The sequence below is a fragment of the Homo sapiens genome, chromosome 3 (assembly GCF_000001405.40).
Source record: "Homo sapiens chromosome 3, GRCh38.p14 Primary Assembly".
Taxonomy (NCBI): Eukaryota; Metazoa; Chordata; class Mammalia; order Primates; family Hominidae; genus Homo; species Homo sapiens.
Genome location: NC_000003.12, coordinates 98,441,947 through 98,457,825, shown reverse-complemented (window position 1 = coordinate 98,457,825; position 15,879 = coordinate 98,441,947). Strand labels below are relative to the sequence as shown.

At 38.2% G+C, this 15,879-nt stretch overlaps 2 annotated features.

Annotated features, from left to right (window-relative positions):
• Positions 11,186-12,385: an enhancer, noted in NCBI's record as "P300/CBP strongly-dependent group 1 enhancer chr3:98164285-98165484 (GRCh37/hg19 assembly coordinates)". NCBI's record gives its function as "activates an origin of replication core promoter dependent on BRD2, BRD4, P300/CBP, MED14 and CDK7 cofactors, with strong dependence on P300/CBP, by STARR-seq in HCT116 cells {active_cell/tissue: HCT116}" and the evidence as "EXISTENCE:reporter gene assay evidence [ECO:0000049][PMID:35650434]".
• Positions 11,768-11,907: an enhancer, noted in NCBI's record as "active region_20136". NCBI's record gives its function as "activates an Ori minimal core promoter by ATAC-STARR-seq in GM12878 lymphoblastoid cells {active_cell/tissue: GM12878}" and the evidence as "EXISTENCE:reporter gene assay evidence [ECO:0000049][PMID:35858748]".

The window sequence follows — 15,879 nt, the reverse complement described above, 5'->3', positions numbered from 1 at the left end:
TATAACCCCCAAACCTTTTCCCAGATACTTGTTTTCCCCTTGGGGAAGTAGTCACAACTGCTGCCCAAACCATGGTGACCACAAGAAGGCACTGCTCTTCCATTCACATTCACTCTGGCCCGGATGATCCCCTGTAGCAGAGAAGAGTAGGAAGGATTATTTACTAGATCTAAGAGATAACCACTGGAAACAAAATTCAGTAATATACAACTAGAAGAGCAGTTCTTCTTCTTCTTTTATTATTTATTATTATTATTTACTATTATTATTATTTTGAGACGGAGTCTCTCTCTGTCACCCAGGCTGGAGTGCAGTGGCACGATCTCGGCTCACTGCAAGCTCCGCCTCCTGGGTTCACGCCATTCTCCTCCCTCAGCCTCCCGAGTAGCTGGGACTACAGGCACCCACCACCACTGGCTACAGCCTGCCATCACCGGCTAATTTTTTGTATTTTTTTTTTTTTAGTAGAGAAGGGGTTTCACCGTGTTGGCCAGGATGGTCTTGATCTGACCTCGTGATCTGTCCGCCTCAGCCTCCCAATGTGCTGGGATTACAGGCATGAGCCACCGCGCCCGGCCTAGAACAGTTCTTACTTAATCCTTTCACCCTACTTAGAAAGCTGGCAAGCTGGCAGGTGACATGACTTTATGACATACTCCCATGTGCCCCCCAGGTTTTGAACAATCGCCCGTTAGCTAGCTAGCTAGCTAGCTGGCTCTGATTCTTCTTCATTTTCTCCCAAAGAGAGCATATTGTTTTGCAGAGCAGTGAGGAAGTTATCATTGAAGTAATCTGGAATCCACTCTACTTACTTTTTTTCCTCCTGGAGATGGAGTCTCGCTCTGTCGCCAGGCTGGTGTGCAGTGGTGCTATCTCAGCTCACTGCAACCTCCTTTTCCCGGGTTCAAGCAGTTCTCCTGCCTCAGCCTACCGAGTAGCTGGGACTACAGGCGTGCACCACCACACCTGGCTAATTTTTGTATTTTTTGGTAGAGACAGGGTTTCACCAGATTGGACAGGATGGTCTTGATCTCCTGACGTCGTGATCCACCCGCCTCGGGCTCCCTAAGAGCTGGGATTACAGGTGTGAGCCACCACGCTTGGCCCACTCTACTTACTTTTTAAAAAGTTAGTCATATTTCAACTATGGAACTTTATTATTAGTAACACTTTAGTTGTGATACATCTCATAACCAATTGTGACAGGTCAGGGTGTTGAAATATTAATAGTATGAAAGCTGCTGATCGTGATAATCTGATTTATATGACTGAGTTGCTCATCTTGTGCTTATGGTTCACTATAGTGAGACCTCCTTACCCATCTCCACATCTACCTCTGAAAGACAGATGCTGCCTTTTCCTAGTCATCTGGCATAGCTCAGCTCCAGAGATCCATTTCCAAGAGTCTGAGGGACAGATGAGCAGGCAGGAGACTCACTCCTTTTTGTTGTTTAGGGCTTAGCTCTTCCCCTGTGTAATTGACACTAGGAATGGCCAACTCTTCAGGGGAGAGTCCAACCTTAATAACAAGATTGTAGCCATATCTTTAATAGTATAATCACATCAAAATATCCTACAATTAAGCTTAGCATCTGTGTAAGACTGGGAGATGACATTTAATCTTGACCTTGAAAGATACATAGACATTTTCTCAGCAAAGAAGGGTTGGAAATGGAATAACAAGCAATATACCAGAGGCATAAAAGCCCATGAAGTTTTAGAGGAATGAAAAGTAGTCTCCAGTCTTGCTGGATGTAGGATGTATTAGAGAACTTGGTATTCATAATTATGTGATGGGTAAATTACTCAATGGTGATACAATTTTGATATTTTCTGCCTGAAATAAATATTAAATGAATCAGCTATTCATAATCAAGTAATTGCTCAGGAGAAGTTCTAAACTCATTAGGTACATACCAGAAAGGATGTCTGATTTTATTATAGGCAGAGTAAAAGTCAGATTTCCTAAGGTAAATGTAGGAACCAAGATAGAATGTGGTAGACCAAGCTGTGCTCAGTAGAGAAATTCATAACTAGAGACATGGAACCCACTTTCTTTCACTTTTTTCTTTCCTTCTTTCCCTTCGTTCTTTCTTCTTTCATATACGCATACATTTATTTTGTATCCTTTCCCCCAAATATATTACATGTCTACTTTATGCCAGCCACAATTCTAGGCACCATGATTAAGCAATAAACAAAGGTAGATGTGGTATCTGCACCTCCCCTTAAAGAATTTGGGGCAAGGTATAAGAGAAAGACATTAACCAGTCACCCAAATGCTGTGGAATTACACCTTCTCTATTATGAAGATCCCTGGAGATCTAAAACTTGTAATAAAGAGGTGTAGCCTAGTCTGAAAAGATCATATAATGTAGCAGTTAACCCCATGAACTCTGGAATCAGGATGCCTAATTTTGAATCTTAGCTCTATCACTTTCTAGCTGCTCTTGGGAAAATTACTTAACCTGTCTGAGCTTTAATTTTCTCATAGAATAATGTATATTATAATGAATTGTGTTCCAAAAATGGAGACTAAAAAAGATAGTTTTAAAAATTTACTACATTATTATGTGTAAAGCACTAGAAAAGAGCCTATTACATACTAAGTGCTTGATAAATGCTAAATGTTCTCACCATCACCATTATTACTTATGGTGAGTCACAGTTGGGTTGCGGGGGGTGCTTAACAGAAAGATTTCCTTGAAGAAGTGATAACTGAGCTGAAATCTGGAGACTGAAGAGAAGTTACCAGGGAAGGGTAGAGTGAGTGAGTTGTGAGGAGAACCTATATAATAAAGGCTTTATTTCTGGAGGGAACATGGCAAGTTCAAGGTACTGCAAGAGGGTCAGTTAGGCAAAGAGAGTTGGGGAAAATTGTGCAAGAGAGGTGAACAGGGAAGAGATAATACATGGTATTGTAAACAATATTAATAATTTGGGTCTTTATTCTAAGAGCAATGAGAACCCATGGAAGGTTTTGATAAAGAAGGCTGACATAATTAGATTCTCATTTTGTAAAAAATCTGGGCCAGGCGCAGTGGCTCAGCCTGTAATCCCAGCACTTTGGGAGGCCGAGGTGGGCAGATTGTCTGAGCTCAGGAGTTCAAAGAAGGGTCTAAAATTCTGGCTTATGCAAGAGGCTGTTGATGACACTCACATAGACTGGACCATGGAACAGGATTAGGTTTGAAGAAAGAGGACAGCAGGAAGTAAGTTTGATTTCACACATGCTGAGTATGAGGTACATTTTTTTTTTTTTTTCCAGAGACAGTGTTTTGTTCTGTCGCCCAGGCTGGATTGCAGAGGTATGATAATAGCTCACTTTTACCTTCAACTCCTGGGCTTAAGCAATCCTCCCACCTCAGCCTCCCAAGTAGCTAGGTGCACATCACCATGCTCAGCTAATTATAAAAAATATTTTTTAAGAAACTGGATCTCACTATGTTGCCCAGGCTGATCTGGAACTTCTGGCCCCAAGTGATCCTCCCACCTCAGCCTCCCAAAGCCCTGGGATTACAGGTGTGAGCCACATTGCCTGTTCCTGAGACTTCTAAAAGAAGATGTCTAGAAGGTTTGAGGCATAGCAATGATGTCTGAATGTGTTTCATGTGAAGATATGTATTTGCATATCAATTATTTAGAGGTGGTGTCTGAAGCCTAGGGAGAATGTATAGATAAGAAAATCTAGAGCAGTGCTGTCCAATAGAACTACAATGTAAGCTACATATGTAATTTACTATGTTCTAGTAACCTAATTAAAAAATAATAAAAATGTGAAATTAATTTTAATAATATTTATTTAATTTAATATATCAAAAATATTGTCATTTCAACATGTAATAATGTAAAAAATTAATAGGATATTTTACTTTATCTCACCTAGCTTTAGAAATCTGGTGGGTTCATCACACTTAGAGCACATTGTAATTCAGACTATATACATTTTAGGCACTCAGTAGCTACATGGCTAGTGCTACCAGTTGGACAGCACTTACTTGTCTTGGAAAGGAGTGGAAAGGGAGGATAAAAGAAAGAGAAGAAAGAGGGAAAATGGGAGAAGAGGAGAGATAGTGTAGTGTGGTAAAAATCAAGGAGATAGTATATCCTAGAAGAAGTGAGTGGTCAAAAAGTTCAACTGACTTCAGCCTTCGCCGCTGTAATAGGTATTTTTTCCCCTGAAACTGCGTAGTTCTGCCATATTTTGGAAAACCTTAATTGACTGAACTGTCAATTCTTTAGTTCATGACTCATTTCTCTCAATTTTTAACATTAAACTTCTTAAAAAAGAGTCTATACATGCTGCTCTTATTAACAATCTGCAACCCAACTTTTGTTCCCATCATTTTGCAAAAACTGGACCCTGTAGTGACCTATTCATCAAGTCAAATGATCCTTCCAGAACTTTTTATCTTTTCCTCTCTAAAATACTGAACAGCTTAAACATTCTTTCATTATTAAAATGGTTTCTTTCCATCTCAACATGGGCATTTGTTTTATCTCTGACCATCTCTTCTCTGTTAGAAAACATTAACTCATAGCTGGATGCAGCTGGTTCTCAAATCTTCATTTGCAGTCCTAATCATGTTGGATATGTGGGATAGTCCCATAATATCTAATTATTGCCTCAAATTCACCATGCTTGAAAGGGAAATTACTTTGTCCAATAAAAGAAATTTTCTTCCTGACTAGTCTGTCACAGAATATAAGAGATGAGTCAGAAAGGGCATCCCTGAGGATGCTCACATAAGGTGAAGCTGGGGTGTACTTTGTAGTGAACCAGATAGCAAGGAAAGCAGAGAGAGAAACAGCATTCCAGGTTGTAGAATCTGTTTATTCAACAAAGAGCATCAGCTGCTTGCTACGTGCCATGCATTGTGCTACTCTCTTGGGATAGGCAGTGAGCAGGTCAAGCATGGACTCTTCCCTCATTGGGCTTATCATCTCGTGGGGGAGAGAGACACATTAAATAAATCATGACAACTGGATTAAATAGTGTGAAGATAGCATTTGGAGGCTTTGAGTTGGGAAGTAGCTTAGTGCGTTCTGGGAACTGAGAAGTCAGTGTGAATTATGGGAACAGTAGCAGCAAATGGGGCTAGAACAGGAGTCAGGGTCAGCTATCATAGGGTTTTATAGTCAAGGCTCAAGACTCCCAAGTGTATACTAAGACCAATGGGAAGACATTCAACTTCTCCAGGCTCCATACTATCATCTATGGCACTGCCATTATCCTCACTCCCTGTATCCAACTTATTATCAAGTTGTCATCAAGTTCCATGGATTCTTCCCTAATAAACGTCTCTCATTCTAGTCACTTGTGTTGTTGTTCAGGTCTGTATCCTGTGATTCTCATCTCATGTAATTCAGGGCTGTAAAATACCATAACAAACATTGTTCAGTACCATAACATTGAACTGGTACCAAAAATATTAAAATTCTGTCTCATAAATACATAAGAGAGCTTGGTCATATCAGTGAGCAGTTCTGTTAAGACAGAAACAGTATGAGGGACAACAAAGAAAAGATTTCATTAATCATGGATACTTTTATAGACATTATAAAATGTTATACTATAGTAGTAATTTTGTTGGAATTATTGATGTCTTATTTAATGCTCTTGTGTCTTCGTGTTTTAGATAATGGTGCTAAAATAGCTAATATTTAAAGTGTATTATAAAAAACACAAACATGTTTGAGAATCATTTCTTTTCTTTTTTTTTTTTTTTTTTTTTTTTGAGACGGAGTCTCGCTCTGTCGCCAAGGCTGGAGTGCAGTGGTGCGATCTCGGCTCACTGCAAGCTCCGCCTCCCGGGTTCAGGTCATTCTCCTGCCTCAGCCTCCCCAGTAGCTGGGACTACAGGCGCCCGCCACCACGCCCGGCTAATTTTTTTTTGTATTTTTTTAGTAGAGACGGGGTTTCACCATGTTAGCCAGGATGGTCTCGATCTCCTGACCTCGTGATCCGCCCGCTTCGGCCTCCCAAAGTGCTGGGATTACAGGCGTGAGCCACTGCGCCCGGCCGAGAATCATTTCTTTATTGTCTCATTACTGCACTATTACAATACTGCCGCATGTGATGGTTCTTTGTCTTGCTTACATCCATTTTATACATAGGTATATCACATTTTATTGCATTTCACTTTATTATACTTCGCAGATATTGTTTTTTTTACAAATTGAAGATTTGTGACAACCCTGTGTCAAACAAGTCTATCCATACCATCTTTCCAACAACATGTGCTCACTTTCTGTCTCTATATCATGGTTTTGTAAGTGTCACAATATTGCAAAACTTTTCATTATTATTCACTCTGTTATGATAGTCTGTGATCAGTGATCTTTGATGTTACTATTGTAATTGTTTTGGATGCTACAAACTGCACTCTTATAAGACAACAGACAATTAATAAATGTTGTGTGTGTTCTGACTATTCCACTGATCAGCTGTTCTCTCATTTCTCTCTCTCTTTTCTTGGGCCTCTCTATTCCCTGAGCCAAAAAAATATTGAAATTAGGCCAACTAATAACCCCATGATGGACTCTTAAGTGATCAAGTAAAAGAGTCACACATCTCTCACTTTAAATTGTAAACTAGAAATGATTAAGCTTACTGAGGAAGTCATGTCAAAAGCTGAGATAGGAAGAAGGCTACGCCTCTTGTGTCAGTTAGCCAAGCTGCAAATGCAAAAGAAATTAAAAGTTTTTCTCTAGTGAACACACAAATGATGAGCAAAACAGCCTTACTGCTTATATGGAGAAATAAAACAACAAAACTGAGGTGACAGCACACCTATTTACAGCATGGTTTACTCAATATTGTAAGCCCATTGTTGAGACCTATTGCTCAAAAAAAAACACCCAATTTATTTCGAAATATTATTGCTCATTGACAATATGCCTGTTCACCCTAGATCTTTGATAGAGATGTATAAGGAGATTAATGTTGTTTTCATATCTGGTAACACAACATCCATTCTGCAGCCTGTGAATCAAGTAGTAATTTTGACTTTCTAGTCTTATTATATAAGAAATATATTTCATAAGGTAATAGGTGCCATAATTAGTGATTCTTTGGATGGATCTGAGAAAATTAAATTAAACTTTCTGGAAAGAATTTATAATTCTAAATGCCATTAGGAACATATGATTGGTGGGAGGAGGGCAAAATATCAAAAATAACAGGAGTTCGGAAGAAGCAGATTCCATGGATGATTTTGAAAAGCTTCGTACTTCAGTGGATTAAGAAACTGCAAACGTGGCAGAAATAATGAAATAACGAGACCTAAAATTAGAAGTGGAGCTTGAAGATGTGACTGCATTGCTGCAATACTGTGGTAAAACTTGAACAGAAGAGCTGTTTCTTATGAATGAGTAAAGAAATTGTTTTTTGAGATAAAATCTACTCCTGGTGAAGATGCTGTGAACATTGTTGAAATGACAACAAAGGATTTAGAATATTACATAAACTAAGTTGTTAAAGCAGCGGCAGGGTTTGAGAGGTTTGATTCTAATTTTGAAAGGAGTTCTACTGTGGGTAAAATGCTCTCAAACAGTATCACATGCTACAGAGAAACCTTTTGTGAAAGGAGGGTTCAGTCAATGTGGCAGGCTTTATTTTTGTCTTTTTAAAAGAAATTGCCACAGCCACTCCAGCCTTCAGCAAACACCATCCTGATCAGTTGATGGCCGAAGCCGTCAACATGAAGGCAAAACCCTCCACCAACAAAAGATCACTATTCGCTGGTCTCAGATGATGGTTAGCATTTTTTAGCAATAAATTATTCTTTAAGATATATACATTATTTTTTGACATAATGTTATTGCACAATCAGTAGACTATAGTACAGTGTAAACATAACTTTTATACGTACTAGGAAACCAAAATATTTTATATATTCATACCTTCTGAAGATATCTGCCTATATGGGCCCCTTGTTTATAGACACTTTTCTACAACAGCCAAACTTGTGAGCTACCCAACTAGGCCACAGGCTTTCCTGCTTCCTCTTCTTGCCTTTGCCAACCTACCTAGCCTGTTTGTTACTCATTTCCTTCTAGAATCTGCCTGATGTCAAATTGATCTTTAGTGTTTTTCTCGGTTATCTGGGTTAGAATTTTGTGCCACTTTTTAGGTCCTATGATAGACACAGTTGCCCTGCCCTTTGCCCCGGACCTACTCTGTGGGTCACACGCACACTGTTCCTGTACAAATTGACTAAGGCTTTTCGTGCCTTTTTTTTTTTTAAAGTTCCAGGCAGAACTTGCAGGTACATTTGTGCCCTGGTGGTTTGCTGCACCTGGTAACCCATCATCTAGGTTCCCTCACCTCATCCCCCACCCCCCACTCCCTAACAGGCCCCAGTGTGTGTTGTTCCCCTCCCTGTGACCATGTGTTCTCATTGTTCAACTCCCACTTATGAGTGAGAACATGCAGTGTTTGGTTTTCTGTTCCTGTGTTAGTTTGCTGAGGATGATGGCTTCCAGCTTCATCCATGTCCGTGCAAAGGACATGGTCTTGTTCCTTTTTATGGCTGCATAGTATTCCATGGTGTATATGTACCACATTTTCTTTATCCAGTCTATTATTGATGGACATTTGGGTTGGTTTCCATGTCTTTGCTATTGTGAATAGTGCTGCAATAAACATACATGTGAATGTGTCTTTATAGTAGAATGATTTATATTTCTTTGGTTATATACCCAGTAACGGGATTGCTGGGTCAAATGGTATTTCTGGTTCTATATCCTTAAGGAATTGCCACACAGTCTTCCACAATGGTTGAACTAATTTACATTCCCACCAACAGAGTAAAAGCGGTTCTATTTCTCCACAGCCTCACTAGCATCTAATGTTTCTTGACTTTTTAATAATCCCTATTCTGACTGGTGGGAGATGGTATCTATTATGGTTTTGATGTCCATTTCTCTAATGATCAGTGGTGTTGAGCTTTTTTCATATGTTTTTTGGCTGCATAAATGTCTTATTTTGGGAAGTGTCTGTTCAATCTTTTGCCTACTTTTTGATGGGGTTGTTTGTTTTTTCTTGTAAATTTGTTTAAGTTCCTTGTAGATTTTGGATATTAGCCCTTTGTCAGATGGGTAGATTGCAAAAATTTTCTCCCGTTCTGTAGGGTGTCTGTTCACTCATGTTAGTTTCTTTTGCCATGCAGAAGCTCTTTAGTTTACTCTGGCCATGCAATTTCACTTCGCTTTGGAAAGGGCCAGGATGACATCATCAGAAATTTAACACTGAGGGAATGACCCTCAACCAATAAAAATGGGGGCTGGGGCTGGGCGCAGTGGCTCACACCTGTAATCCCAGCACTTTGGGAGGCTGAGGCAGGGGGAATACCCGAGGTCAGGAGTTTCAGAACAGCCTGGCCAACACAGCAGAACCCCGTCTCTACTAAAAATACACAAAACTAGTCTGGCCTGGTGGCGCACATCTGTGGTCCCAGGTACTCAGGAGGCTGAGGCAGGGGAATCGCATGAACCCGGGAGGTGCAGGTTGCAGTGAGCCAAGATTACAGCCACTGCACTCCAGCCTGGGCAACAGAGTGAGACTCTGTTCCAAAAAAAAGGGGAGGCGGGGGTGGTCAGTGGATATGTACTTTGACTTTGACTTTCTCACTGCATGGTGAAAAATGTTGATGTGTGTTTTTAAGTCTTTCAGAAGGTCCCTGATTTCTTATAGATATAACCTACTTATTAATGCATTAATGGGCTTTCCTCCTTCCTCTATCTCACTTCTTCATGCTCATTATGCATCTTGAATTACTAACCACATAAACTACTTGCACCCCTATCCTTTTCTCAAAGTCTGCTTTTGGAGAAACTCAAAGTAAGATTGGACTGGACAACACACTCACCAGCACTGTTTTTTTATATTTTCTTATTCAACCCTTACTTACTCAACTGTCATGTTATCTCTTTGAAAGTGAAACTTTGGGGTTTTGTTGTGGGAGTTTTATTAAATGAGATTTGTAAAAATCTTAAGTTCTCTGTAAGAGGAGCCATTATGGTTGTTACTGAGTGCTTTTGTAGTTGAAAGCCCTCACAACATTATATAAGAGAAGAAGAGCAAGGAATAGTTATTGACTAAATTATTACAGTGTGATGGTGCTAAAAGGAATTCAGGCCAAAACCAATTCAAGGTCCTTCACTAAAGGGGCTATACCATTTTAACGCTGAAGAGTGTAGAGATACTTTACGAAATAAACATTTGATATAGATTACGTTGGAGACAGGGCACTAGGGTGATTTGTCTGAGGTTAGATTGTTGTAGGGTTTTTTTTTAAAATAAAATAAATTATTTTAAAAAAATCAGCTTTCTGGAGAGATTTTCTAGGGTTCTCTGTTTCATATAATAAAAATGTGATCCTCAAAGAGTAAACTTCAGCTCTGCTGGCTAATGATGTCTCTGGCCCAAAGGGATGACTCAATTCAAATGCTCTTCTCATTCTGTCTCACTAATGTATCTTTACCAGAAATCCCTGTCTAGTTCCTAATTACATCCATTGTGCATTGCTTACAAATGAAACACAACCTCCTTACAGTTATGGAACTTGTCCAATTTCCAATCTCTGAGGGGCCAAACTTTTAATAAAGTCTCCAGTGAGGACATTCAGGTTTACTAAAACTTTCACTGAATATTATTAATTTAGGCAAATCTCCCCAGCTAACCAGTTAAAGTTAAAATTAACCAAGTCATACACAGATTTAATAATTCTCAGTGAGCTTAATTTCTTTTCCAAGAGCAGTACCCAAGAAAATCTTCAATTTTTTTTCTAGTCTGGAGTAAAAATAAAAAACAAAAACAGAAAGAAGCACCTATAAACTGGGCTGTTTAATGTATTTTGGTACTCTGTATTAGAATCTTTTATTTATATTTATATCGATATAAAATAGCAATATCAATATATTATATTAATATACAAATATAAATATAAAGTTATTTATATTCATAAACTTGATGGTGATGATAACATCCAACCCTGAGGTGAAAGACTGAAAAGGGATTTCCATGTGATATTGTTTTTGGAAGAAGCCATAGTTTTTCTTTTCTTTTTTTTTGTTTTCTTATTTATTTGTTTTTTTATTTATTTGTTTTTACTTTGCTTCCAATTAGCAGGAATGGATTCTCTCTGACTCAACTCTTTAATTACCAAGGCATTTTCAGCCATCATACCCTGAGTTTACAGCTGAGGCTTTATGTATTTTTAAAAATTAAGATATAATACACTTGGGATATAGTATAAAAATCTTCTGTGTATCGATGAATTGTTATTTATCCACCTGTGTAATATAATCACCTTAGTTGTTGATATCCTCTAATGTACAGCACTTTTCTTCATTTTATATATCCTTTTCTTCTGCCTCACCTTCTTTTCCATTTTCCCTCTTCCCATCTCTATGTTTATCCCTACTACCTCCCATTTCTCCACCTTCTCTACATCCCTCTCTACTTACAGCTGCTCTCCACTTCTATTCTCCCTTTTGTTCTCCTACCTAGTCTCACTTCCTCTTGTGTAGGTGTATCTGGAAGTTCCTGTGCTGGTTATAACCTGTTGCTTGATTTTATTACTCACCGCTGTAGAGTCTTGCTGAAGCTCTAATTGAGCCCAGGATCAAAGCACATCTATAGAGGATAAAGTGGGACGGCTATGATTGGCCATTTCGTACCCACGGTGTTTGGGAGAAACAGTCCAGCCCCTCTTTTAAGAAATGAGCAAGACACTGATTCCATCACATTGACTCAAGCTGGCTTTCAAACCAGAGGACTGGATGCTGAATCAAGCTGCCTGATCTGTCTGGACATGTCACTCTGACACTGGCATTCAAAACAGTAGGTGAAGGTAGCTTTACGGACAGAAGAAAGAAAGCCAGTATTTACCAGTTCCTTATGTATTTACATTTTTTCAAAATGAAAAGTTTTTATCATAAAATTGTAACTTTTATACACCATGCATAGGAAAAATGAAACAAAAGAAAACACAGCCAGAAATATATTAAAAAAAACTTAAAAATCTATGAAATATACACACTTGGTGGCTAACTAAAAATAAGTATTATTGACATTTTAATTGATATCTTTTCAGAATTATTTCTCCTATTGCTTTAGAAACTTGGAATCATATTGGAAAGAGTGTTTTAACTTAACATATTAGAGAAATCTGTCCTTATCAGCAAGCAAAAATTATATAATTAAGCATAATCAATATGTACCACTATTTTAAATTCATTCCCTTTTAATGGGTATGTGGCTTAATTCAATTTTTCTATTATAAATAAGCTACTAATTAATATCCATTAAATATATCCTGAATCTCTAGTCTAATAGAAATGAAATATTTGCATCAAAGGGTATGAACATTGTAAAGGCTTTTGATCTACTTTGCTCAAGTGCTCTCCAGAAAGATTGAGTTAATCTGGGAAAAGTCTCTGCTCTATTACACCACCAACAAACTGACTAACATCATCCTTTTTAGTTTTTGCCACACTGATATTTCTTCTTTTTCCTTGCTTCAGGAAATTAAAATAGATAGAACCCCAAAACTTGTTTGCCATTTGTATTTCTTCTTTGATAAATGTCTATTGATCTTTCCTTTTATTCAAATGTTTGCCTTTTTCATCATGATGTGTTAAGAGCCTCTTATACATCAAAGGTGTTAATATTTCCCTTTCTCCCATAAATGTCCTGAATATTTTTCTTATAATATTATTTGTCTAACTGTTTTTTTTGTTTGTTTGTTTGTTTGTTTTTACATATAGAAGTTTTAAAGTTTTACATTGTCACTGTATCAGGGTATACTCAGGAAAACGGAGCCCTTGCCAACGATTTAAATAGAGAAAATGCAATTCAGGAAATAATTACAAAGGGTGTGAAAAGTAAAAATTCAAACAAGGTAACCTGTGATAAGCTCCTACTGGAAGGACTGGTGTTAACAGAACTCAGAATTCTGTCCATAGGAGAGGTTATTCTGCAGAAGCTGGAATCTCTCTGGGGATACAGCTAAGTGCTAGAGACACTGCCTATAGCAGACAAAGAGTGAAGAAATATTGTGGCTTATATCCTCCACTCTCCAATTTCTTATTAGTGTCTGCCACTGGGAAAATCTAGCCAGAAGTCATTTGAAAGAAATTCTGGGAAATATAGCATACAAAGGCAATTTGATTGCGATACAAAACTGACCGGGGGAAGCCGAGAAATAGAAGGGGAAGCTGAGAAATAGATTGAGGGTAAACAGCGAGTGTTTAAGAGAATCATATACATTAATTATTTCTATTTATGACTTCTGGCTCTGGCATTAATAAAGTCCTCTTTTTCCCTAAGATTATTTCTTTGATTTGTATTTAATTTTGAGTCTTACATTTTTAGTTTACATAAAATATATGTTGGTGTAAAATGTGAGTATGTTCCCTGACAGAGGAAGGTCCAGCTGCTTGTTCTCGAGCTCTAATAAGAAGACGCAGACAAACTAGGAAAGATGGGAGTTTATTTCTGCAACCAGTTACAGGGAGAAGGTCAGAGTAACTCACCAGACCATCTCAAAGTTACAAGTTTTTTTCTGATACTTACATACATTTTAAGCTCCATGCTATGTGCAGGATTGCACCTACAAGCAGAAGAGTTTCATTCAATCTATGTCTAATCTTTAACTAGGGGGTCTGGGGTCTGGAAAGCTTTCTTTAGAGTCTTAGTTTCTTAATCTTAAGACAGAACCAGGTGTATGTGTAGGAATGCTATTACTATTCAATCACACTTTAGGGTCTGAGAAAACCCAGGTGGGATCTTAATGGGTTTGTTTTCATATTCCCATCCTCATACTCAGGCACCAGTTTCTCCAGTTCTTTATTTAACTTATCCACTCATCAAAATTATAGTAAAGGGTAATGGAAACTAACCGCCTGGTTGCTAATGGAAACCTGACCTGCCACAAGTAAGGATCTAACTATATTGTTTAATGACAGCCTAGTTGGCCCAACACCATCATTTGAATTAGATCTTTACCATATTGATAATTTTTAAAGAAGTTTGGGTTTATTTTTGTACTTTTTACTTAGTTCCATATATCTCTTTGTATGTGTTACAGAAGCTAAATTTCAGGTAAGTGTGAGCAAAAGTTTGGGGAATTCCTTCTGCTACCCATTCATAGGGTAGAAGCTATACCTTAGGCATGGCATGACATCAATGCAGAAACAACAATCACTTTTGCCCCCCCTCATTGGTAAGGCAGAGGTTCCACACTGGGAAGCCAAGCTTAGAAAATAAGAGGCTATGGTCCACACCCAATGCCTACTCCTAAAGCAGGGATGTCACTCACAGAGAAGGAGGCCACTGTTCCCACCGCCAAGCTTGGGAGTGTAGTCTCAGAAATTTTCCCAGGAGAAAATATGGTTATTCACATACAAAAGAATGGAATTGAACCCCTATTTCACAACATACACAAAAATTAGCTCAAATGGCTCAAATACCTAAATGTAATAGATAAAACTATAAGCTCTAATAAAAATAAGTATAAATATTGTGACATTGTGTTATGCCACAGTTTCTTAAATATGACACCAAAAGCACAGGCAAAATATCAAAAATAAGTGAGATTTCATCAAAATTAGGAGTATTTTTGCTTCAGAGGATACCAGCAAGAAAGCAAAGGACAGAACTAGATTTGGAGAAGATATATGAAAATCACATTTATGAGAAGAGAGTTTTATCTAGAATATATAAAGAACTTTTATCACTCAATAATCAAACCTCAAATTACCCTGTTTAAAAATTGGCAAAGGATCTGAATAATTATTTCTCCAAAGAAGTTATACAAATTTCAAATAGTACATGGAAGATGCTCAGCATTATTAAACATCAAGGAAATGCAAATCAAAACCCAGTGTGACACCACTTCACATGAAATATAATAACTATAATAAAAAGACAGAAAATAGCAAGTCTTGGCGAGGATGTGGCAAAATTGGAACCCTCATGCATTACTCTTGGGAATGTAAAATGGTTCAGCTACTTTGAAACACAGTCAAGTTATTCCTCAAAAAGCTAAACACAGAGTTACCATAAAACCCAGCAATAACACTCCTACCTTAATACCTAAGAGAAATGAAAAGATATGTCCATATGCAAAGTTGTATGCAAATATTCAGAGCAGCATTATTCATAATTGACAAACTAATGCTAAAGCTTATAATGAAAGATAAAAGACAGGTATAGCCGGCCGGGCGCGGTGGCTCACGCGTGTAATCCCAGCACTTTGGGAGGCCGAGGCGGGTGGATCACGAGGTCAGGAGATGGAGACCACGGTGAAACCCCAATCTTTACTAAAAATACAAAAAATTAGCCGGGCTTGGTGGCGGGCGCCTGTAGTCCCAGCTACTCGGAGAGGCTGAGGCAGGAGAATGGCGTGAACCCGGGAGGTGGAGCTTGCAGTGAGCCGAGATCGGGCCACTGCACTCCAGCCTGGGCGACAGAGCGAGATTCCGTCTCAAAAAAAAAAAAAAAAAAAAAAAAAAAGGCAAGTATAGCCAACACAACACTGAAGAAGAACAAAGTTGAAGGAAATCACACTACTGATTTCAAGATTCACTATGTAGCGGCAGTGATCAAGATAACATAGTATTTCTGAAAGAATAAACACAGAATTCAAGGGAACAGCATAGACAGCTCAGAATTGACTCACACAAATGTTGTCAGTTGATCTCTGACAGAGGAGCAAAGGCAATCTATTGAATAAAGATGGCTTTCAACAAATGGTGCTGGAACAATTGGACATCCATATACAAAAACTATAAAGCTAGATATACATCATACGTAATTCACAAACATTAAGTCAAAATGGATCATAGATCTAAATGTAAAACTAAAACTAT